This window comes from Homo sapiens, chromosome 1 (genome assembly GCF_000001405.40).
Source record: "Homo sapiens chromosome 1, GRCh38.p14 Primary Assembly".
Taxonomy (NCBI): domain Eukaryota; kingdom Metazoa; phylum Chordata; class Mammalia; order Primates; family Hominidae; genus Homo; species Homo sapiens.
Window position 1 is genome coordinate 225736026 of NC_000001.11, and position 9567 is coordinate 225745592.

Sequence of the window (9567 nt, forward strand, 5' to 3'; positions counted from 1 at the left end):
TTGAAAACTGACAGTAGATGGCTGTGACTACCCAGAGTTTTTTCCCCAGCAGTTAATGAACACACAGCAGACGCATGCATGCAATACCTTGGAATCATCCCAGAGGCTCCAGGTCAGGTCTCCTTGTCTGAACGCCCCTACCTAGCTGGGCCACACAAGCAGTTTCCATGCTGAGTCCACTAAGTAATCCAAAACAATTGTTCCTTGGGATTTTTCTGAAAAAGAGATAGAAAGTGCTCTGCCTCGGTGAGCAGAGGGAGCTGCTTCAGTATTGGAAACAAAGATAACTGAAATGCAGTCTTTAGAATCTGATAAACCCTCTTCCCAGGACAAGAAAGGCATGAAGTCAGGCCTGAGCTTTGGGGCTCATTTCAGGTACATGCTGGCTTTAGCAACAGAGGAAAAGCCATTATCCCTGTCTTCTTAATTTCCCTCAGCAATCAGCCCTAGCAGGTTCACCATGTTCTCTGTGCAGTTTGAGACAAACTCACTAAACGTCCTGTTCTCTGAAAAATGATCCATCCAAGAGGGCACAGGCCAAGAGTGTTTCTCCTTTTGGTATCAGGGACAGGTTGTAATGCTGCCGTGATCAAAGGCATGAGTTCCTCAGGTGAGGGGGCAGCCCGGCTACAGCCCTGGTGGGGAGGGCTGCACTTAGCGTAGGAGCTGGCTATTTCACTGCCCCCACCCCATCTTCATTGCTTCTAGGCATCCAGAGCTCTATGGTGTAACGTATATCCTGGAATAGTTCCAACATCTCTGTTCCAGGACTTGCTGGACACAGAACCACTTGTGATACGGTTAGAAAAGTCACTTTTCATCTCCTGTCCTAAGCTGCTAAGAAAAACGAATCATGTAGCCTAGATTTACATGTTTGCCTTTTTCTGGTGATCATGAGTGACTGATCTGAGCAATAAGTATATGACTGAGAGGCCCTCGCCAGGCATTTGTGGAGCGGATTGCCGAAGCTTGGTTAGTTAAGCAATATGCCAGAAATTTGGAGATCATGAACTCTGACTTTTGCCACCTTGCCACATGCTCTTCAGCCAGTTATTTCTCCTATGTTCTGCCTTTATAAAATGGGGATAAGCTATCTCTGAGGTTGTTTTAAGAAGAGACACTAATGAAAATGATTGTCAAGTGCCTCTCTAAAGAGAAAGTACAGTAGGCATAAGTGCTTTATGTGATGAAATTCCATCTTTCTTCCTCCCTTTGCAACCTGAACCATGGAATCAATAATGTTTTTCCAAGTGCAGTGTCCCCAGGACAAAATATGAATCAGTTTCCTGAGCTCGGCAGCCCTCGGATGGGGAGTAGCCCCTGCCCTCTGGGGCCTGGTGTCCAGGGTGTGGCTGGCTTTACTGCTGTAAGTGCCCATCTTATCCTGGGATTCCAGCCAAGATGCCAGTGTTGCAAATTTCTCTGATTTCAGAGGAAGATTTGTTTAGGGGTTGAGTCTTCACAGTGGCTTTTGCCATCTATCTCCATTTTATTTTCTCTTTTATCGAGTACCTATTGTACCCCAGGCACTGTGCTAAATGCATTCACCTACATTATCTTGTTTAATCCTCTGAGCAGCTCGGCGAGGGGGGTGTCATTACCATTCTTATTTTACCTCACGAAATAGGCACTTGGAGGGAGTGAAACGAGTTAGCAAGGTAACACAGAAAACAACGGGCAAGGCCAGGATTCCAACCCAAGCTCATCATTACTCTCCCATGCTTCCTTTCCCACAGTTGCCCTACATTCAGACACTTCCCATTTAAGAGAAAATCAAACTGCAGTTTGAGAAAGCACTAACTAGAGAGTTCAAGGGAGTGGGGTCTTCTGCCCACACCTATGGGGAATATGCTGTAGGCATGGCTATTGGGTACTACCTGCCTTGGAGGATGAGGGTGAAGGGAATGGGGTCCTTCCTCCTTCACCTGGTCCTGTAGACCAGTGCCCAGGCCTGTGTGTTCTCAGAGCATTTCCTGCCCATCTGAAATGCAGAGCATCCAGGCTGTCACTGCTACAGCAGGGCCCCTAATGCACTGCCTTACATCAACATGATTGTCAACTCATTTCAGCTCAATCATCCGGCCTTGTGAGAGACGCCCACATGCTGAAGAGCCTTTCTGCAGTTCTGCATTGAACTCTTCATGTGGCCCCATCTAGTAATGAGTGCGAGTGGTAAGTGCAAGAAACAGAGCAAGGGAGAGGACCCTTCTCTTGTAGTTCTTTTTTTCTTTTTCTTTTTCTTTTTTTTTTTTTTTTTTGAGACAGCATCTCTCTCTCTCACCCAGGCTGGAGTGCAGTGGTGCAATCTCGGCTCACTGCAACCTCTGCCTCCTGAATTCAAGCGATTCTCCTGCCTCAGCCTCCCGAGTAGCTGTGACTACAGTCATGCGCCACCACGCCTGGCTAATTTTTGTATATTTAGTAGAGATGGGGTTTCAGCATGTTGGCCAAGCTGGTCTCGAACTCCTGACCTCAAGCGATCCGCCCGCCTTGGCCTCCCAAAGTGCTGGGATTACAGGCGTGAGCCACTGCGCCCAGCCATTGTAGTTCTTTATATAGAGAAAAAAGTACTGATGACTAGTCCTTGTATCAGTGAAAACTGAGATGTAGAGCAAAGCGGAGCTGCCTATAGACAGATCAACTGATTTTTTACCAAAATAAGGGAGGGTCCTTCCTGACAGGTTTGCTTGGGGACTGGGGGAGAGACTGCAGCTTATTGCATAATATCTGTTTCCCTCTTAATTATAAAACTCCAAGTTTATATGGAGCAAAGTACCCAGCTAAAATCTACATTTCCAAGTGTTCCTGGCCACTTAGATATAAGGGAATATTATACATAAAAATTTCAAGAAGTCTGCTGAGAGGGAGCTGACTCAGAGGGCCAACCTTTTGTTGCTTCGCTTGTCCTTCTCCCTTTGTCCTGCTGCCTGGAATGCAGACATGATGGCTGGCATGCCACTGCCCTCTTAAACCATGAGGTAGCCTTGTGGATGGAAGTCAGTGCTAAGGATGGTGCTGCAGAAAGCCAGAAGCAGCTTGGGTTCCTGCTAACTTCGTGGAGCCACTATTCCTGCCCAGAACTGTAGTCCCCTGGAATTCTTTTACATAAGAGGATAAACCTTGTTTTCTGTTGTATAAAGTCTAACTTAATCCTAATTGACAGATTCTGTTTGATAGAGGCACCTGGAATTTCTAGCTAGTCAAGGTCACCTGAGCCCTGTCTGCTCTATCTACCTCCTAAAGGCACATACCTAAGTCTTCCTGATAGTCTTTGCACAAGTTATATGATCACCTGTAGAAGGGTAGGTGTGGAGACTTTTTAGGGAATACTAAATGAATTCCTGAATTCTATTTTTTGTGGAACATGTATATTGAGCACCTACCACACACGAAGTACCATGCTAGATACACTCGGGTCTACTCTCAGGACACTTAAATAGAGCATTTTAATAGACCGACATGGCAATTTAAATAGAGTGAGATGGCTGGGTGCAGTGGCTCACACCTGTAATCCCAACACTTTGGAAGGCCGAGGCAGGCAGATTGCTTGAGGCCAGGAGTTTGAGACCAACCCGGGCAACATAGTGAGATCCCGTCTCTACAAGAAATTTTTTTTTAAAAAGTTAGCCAAGCTCAGTGGCATGTGCCTAGAGTCCCAGCCACTTGGGAGGCTGAGGCAAGAGGATCACTGGAGCCCAGAAGTTCAAGGCTGCAGTGAACTATGATCACACCACTGCACTCAAGCTTGGGCAACTGAGTGAGACCCTATCCTTAAAACAAACAACAAAGTGAGATGTGCACTGTAAGGGAGTACTCTAACAGAGGAGTTCCCTAACCTAGTCTTGTAGAAGGCTTGCAAGAAAAAACTAGAGCCTGTAGGGCAAGTAGGAGCCAGTCAGATGTAAAGTAACCAAATGAAGAGCTTTCTGTGGATGACACACAATCCTTTTTAATGGGCTACAGTTGTCTTTCAAAACAGGCTATGACCCAGCAGCTGATTCTTGCTAAGCTTGCAATGTTCTTGCAATGATCAATACTGGTAGCCACTCCATTACCGTACCCACGGTTTAGAAGGTAGTTTGTATTTTTCCTTCTTTTTCTTTTACCACAAACTTTACTCCCTCCTAGGGTCTAGAGTAAGGAAAAAAAATGTGTGTAGATCAGGAAGTCTGATTATGTACCAAGAGTAGATTTGGGGAAAATTCAGACTGGTTGTATCCAGATGGGTTTGCAGTCAGTATGTGGTCCTAGGCCTTGGTCTTGGCAGAGAGGCAGTGCAGGGCAAGGGAGCTTCCCCAGTGATCAGTGGTCTCTAGGGAACCCGTTTGACTTTGTCATTCTCAGACCTGATCAGATCCAGGCAGCTCTAGGTCTGCTGCTTCTGCCCTGAACCCAGGTTCTAAGTTTTTGTTTACATTCAAGATGAGACTGGCTGGGCACGGTGGCTCACGCCTGTAATCCCAGCACTTTGGGAGGCTGAGGCGAGTGGATCACAAGGTCAGGAGATCAAGACCAGCCTGGTTAACATGGTGAAACCCCATATCTACTAAAATTACAAAAAATTAGCTGGGCGTGGTGGCACGTGCCTGTAGTCCCAGCTACTCTGGAGGCTAAGGCAGGAGAATCACTTGAATCTGGGAGGCGGAGGTTGCAGTAAGCTGAGATCACGCCACTGCACTCCAGCCTGGGCGACAGAACGAGACTCTGTCTCAAAAAAAAAAAAAAAAAAAAAAAGATGAGACTGTTTTTGATTATAAGTAACAGAAACCAACTAAAGCCAGCTTAAGTACAAAAGGATAAGTCAGAGGACCGGTAAGGATTTTCTTTTCTTCATCCAGTGGCAGGAAAGCGCAATGTCGAATGAAGATATCAAAGTCATAAACTAGAAGGTATCAGGAGTCCCCAATCCACATGGTAATGAATAAATAGTGCTCGCGGCCAGACGCAGTGGCTTACGCCTGTAATCTCAGCACTATGGGCGGCTGAGGCAGGCAGATCACCTGAGGTCAGGAGTTCGAGACCAGCCTGGCCAACATGGTGAAACCCTGTCTCTACTAAAAATACAAAATTAGCCACGTGTGGTGGCGGGTGTCTGTAATCCCAGCTACTTGGGAGGCTGAGGCAGGAGAATCGCTTGAACCTGGGAGGTGGAGGTTGCAGTGAGCTGAGATTGTGCCATTGCACTCCAGCCTGAGTGACAGAATGAGACTCTGGCTCAATAAATAAATAAATAGATAGATAAATAAATAGTGCTCGCTTTGGCAGCACATATACTAAAATTGGAACAATACAGAGAAGATTAGCATGGTCCCTGCATAAAATAAGTTTTGTGTGTGTGTGTGGTTGTTTTGTTTTGTTTTGTTTTGTTTTTTTGAAACAGAGTCTTGCTTTGTCGCCAGGCTGGAGTGCAGTGGTGCAATCTCAGCTCACTGCAACCTCCGCCTCCTGGGTTCAAGCGATTCTCCTGCCTCAGCCTCCCGAGTAGTTGGGACTACAGGCGCCCGCCACCAAGCCCGGCTAATTTTTGTATTTTTAATAGAGATGGGTTTCACCATGTTGGCCAGGATGGTCTTGATCTCTCGACCTCATGATCTGCCCACCTCGGCCTCCCAAAGTCCTGGGATTACAGGTGTCAGCCACCATGCCCGGCCAATAAAAAAAAATTTTAATTTAAAAAAGATAAATAAATAATTTGTAAAAGGCCAGGCACAGTGGCTCACGTGTTATCCCAGCATTTTGAGAGACTGAGGTAGGAGGATCACTTCAGGCCAGTCCTGGGTAACATAGTAAGATCTCTACCAAAAAATAGAAAAGTTACCTGCGCGTGGTGCCACATGCCTGTAGCCCTAGCTACTCAGGAGGCAAAGGTGGGAGAATCGTTTGAGTCCTGAAGCTCGAGGCTGTAGCAAGCCATGATGGCGCCACTGCACTCCAGCCCGGGAGACAGAGGGAGACTGTGTCCCTAAAAAATAAATAAAAATAACTTCTCAAAAAAAGATATACACGTGACCAACAAATGTGGAAAAAAGCTCAACATCGCTGATCATTAGAGAAATGCAAATGAAAGTCTGGACACGGTGGCTCATGCCTGTAATCCCAGCACTTTGGGAGGCTGAGGCGTGCTGATCACCTGAGGTCGGGAGTTCAAGACCAGCCTGACCAACATGGAGAAACCCTGTCCCTACTAAAAATACAAAATTAGCTGGGCCTGGTGGCAGGCGCCTGTAATCCCAGCTGCTCGGGAGGCTGAGACAGGAGAATCACTTGAACCTGGGAGGTGGAGGTTGTGGTGAGCCGAGATCATGTCATTGCACTCCAGCCTGGGCAACAAGAGCGAAACTCCGTCTCAAAAAAAAAAAAAAAAAAAAAAAGGCCAGGCGCAGTGGCTCACGCCTGTAATCCCAGCACTCTGGGAGGCCGAGGTGGGTGGATCACGAGGTCAGGAGATTGAGACCATCCTGGCTAACACAGTGAAACCCCATCTCTACTGAAAATACAAAAAATTAGCCAGGTGTGGTGGCGGGTGCCTGTAGTCCCAGCTACTCGGGAGGCTGAGGCAGGAGAATGGCATGAACCCAGGAGGTGGAGCTTGCAGTGAGCCAAGATCGTGCCGCTGCACTCCAGCCTGGGCAACAAAGCGAGACTCCATGTCAAAAAAAAAAAAAAAGAGAGACAGAGAGAGAGATGCAAATGAAAACCACAATGAGATACCATCTCACGCCAGTCAGAATGGCGATTATTAAAAAGTCAAGAGACAACAGATAGGCCGGGCGTGGTGGCTCACACCTGTAATCCCAGCACTTTGGGAGGCCAAGGTGGGCAGATCACTTGAGGTCAGGAGTTTGAGGCCAGGCTGGCTAACATGGTGAAACCCTGTCTCCACTAAAAATACAAAAATTAGCCAGGCACCATGGCGCACACCTGTAATCCCAGCTACTCAGGAGGCTGAGGCAGGTGAATTGCTTGAACCTGGGAGGCAGAGTTTGCAGTGAGCCAAGATTGCGCCACTGCACTCCAGCCTGGGTGACAGAGTGAGACTCTGTCTCAATAAAATGAAATTTAAAAAAGAAACAAGAGCTGCTGGCGAGGTTGTGAAGAAATAAGAAAGCTTTTACACTGTTGGTGGGAATGTAAATTAGTTCAACCATTGTGGAAGAGAGTGTGGCGATTCCTCAGAGATTTAGAACCAGAAATACCATTTGACCCAGCAATCCCATTACTGGGTATATACCCAAAGGAATATAAATCACTTTGTTATAAAGATACATACACACATATGTTCATTACAGCACTATTCACAATAGCAAGGACATGGAATCAACCCAAATGCTCATCAATGATAGACTGGATAAAGAAAATGTGGCGGCTGGGCATGGTGGCTCATGCCTTTAATCCCAGCGCTTTGGGAGGCTGAGGCAGGCGGATCACCTGAAGTCAGGAGTTCGAGACCAGCCTGGCCAACATGGTGAAACCCATCTCTACCAAAAATACAAAAATTAGCCGAGTGTGGTGGTGCATGCCTGTAGTCCCAGCTACTCCGGAGGCTGAGAGGCAGAGGAATTGCTTGAACCTGGGAGGTGGAGGTTGCAGTGAGCTGAAATCATGCCACTGCACTCCAGCCTGGGCAACAGAGCAAGACTCCATCTCAAAAAAAAAAAAGAAAAGAAAAAGGAAAGAAATAAAACGTGGTACATATACACCATGGAATACTATGCAGCCATAAAAAGGAACAAGATCGCCGGGCGCGGTGGCTCACGCCTGTAATCCCAGCACTTTGGGAGGCCGAGGCGGGCGGATCACGAGGTCAGGAGATCGAGACCATCCTGGCTAAAACGGTGAAACCCCGTCTCTACTAAAAATACAAAAAATTAGCCGGGCGTAGTGGCGGGCGCCTGTAGTCCCAGCTACTTGGGAGGCTGAGGCAGGAGAATGGCGTGAACCCGGGAGGCGGAGCTTGCAGTGAGCCGAGATCCCGCCACTGCACTCCAGCCTGGGCGACAGAGCGAGACTCCGTCTCAAAAAAAAAAAAAAAAAAAGGAACAAGATCATGTCTTTTGCAGCTATATGGATGTAGCTGGAAGCCATTATCCTCAGCAAACTAACGCAGGAACAGAAAACCAAACACTGTATGTTCTCACTAGTAAGTGGGAGCTGAACAGTGAGAACACGTGGACACAGGGAGGGGAACAGCACTCACTGGGGCCTGTTGGGGGTGGGCAGGGGAACGGAGAGCATTAGGGAAAAGAGCTAATGCATGCTGGGCTTAACACCTGGGTGATGGGTTGATAGGTGCAGCAAACCATCATGGCACACATTTACCTGTGTTAACAAACCTGTACATCCTGTACATGTACCGAGGAACTTAAAATAAATAAATAAATAAATAAATAAAAGTTAAAAATAAGGGCCATGCATTAGCTCCTGGTTTTGTTTGTTTGTTTTTTGAGACAGAGTCTCACTGTGTCGCCAGGCTGGAGTGCAGTTGACGCAATCTCAGCTCACTTCAACCTCCACCTCCTGGGTTCAAGCGATTCTCCTGCCTCAGCCTCCCAAGTAGCTGGGACTACAGGCACCCACCACCATGCCCGGCTAATTTTTGTATTTTTAGTAGAGACGGGGTTTCACCATGTTGGTCAGGATGGTCTCAATATCTTGACCTTGTGATCTGCCTGCCTCGGCCTCCCAAAGTGCTGGGATTTATAGGCGTGAGCCACCGCACCTGGCCTCCTGGGTTTTAACATGAGCTCAGCCCAGACTGAATCTCTTAGTCTCAATTCTAGGTCATGTGGCAAAGACACTTTGAGGAGCCCATCCTGGGATGAAAACCATGGCCAGGGAAGAGGCCACAGCAGAGAGGCAGAGGTGCTGAAACCACTTCTGCAACCACAAGGACGAAAGTGCACCTCATTGGTGAGGGAGCGCTGGTGCCTGCCCCCATGTGCACACAGCAGCCCATAGCTAAGGAGTCACAGAGCTCTTACCTCAATCCTACCTGATCAGTTCAGCCAGAACTGATCTCTCAGCCAAGTCTGTACCCTGGCTAGAATGTGATCTTCAAAATGTGATCCTAACCTGTTTTGTTCACTCCTATGACCCCAGCATCCAGAACAATGCTTGGCACCATTGGTAGGCACTCAAATACTATACTTGGTACATCAAATAACAAATTAACTCCTCCATTCTATGCCTTCTTGGAAGGGATACAGGATGGCAGCTGGGGAGAGGAGAGCACAGAAGAAAGATGAGAACAGGATCTTAGAAAACTTCCCTGGGGCATATTTGTAGGCCCTGACTTACCCAGATCCTTGGAACAGGAATTATGGCTTAGGGAGCAGTAGGCAAGCCCTGATCATGGAGCCTGGCAGACCCATTTATTCCTTCAACAAGGATTTATGGAACACTTACCAGATGCCAAGTCCTGCTGTATTCTCAGCCTTGCCAGGCCTAGCTTTCATACCCTTCTGGCCCTGTGATTTCTGGCTAGCTGTTAGCCTCTCTCTCTGTTCATTCATTGGTAAATACATCACAGGGTTCTTGAGAAGATTAAATGACATAATATATAAAATA

The 9567-nt window shown here is 47.3% G+C and overlaps 1 long non-coding RNA gene and 1 pseudogene across 1 annotated transcript; both read left to right on the top strand.

The window, feature by feature from the left end:
* The first annotated feature begins 1983 nt into the window (after positions 1-1983).
* Positions 1984-9567, top strand: LOC107985352 (uncharacterized). Its single transcript, XR_001738499.2, has 2 exons — positions 1984-2172; positions 8781-9567. It is a non-coding gene; the product is annotated as an uncharacterized LOC107985352 (long non-coding RNA).
* Positions 5250-5355, top strand: RNU6-1304P (RNA, U6 small nuclear 1304, pseudogene; annotated as a pseudogene).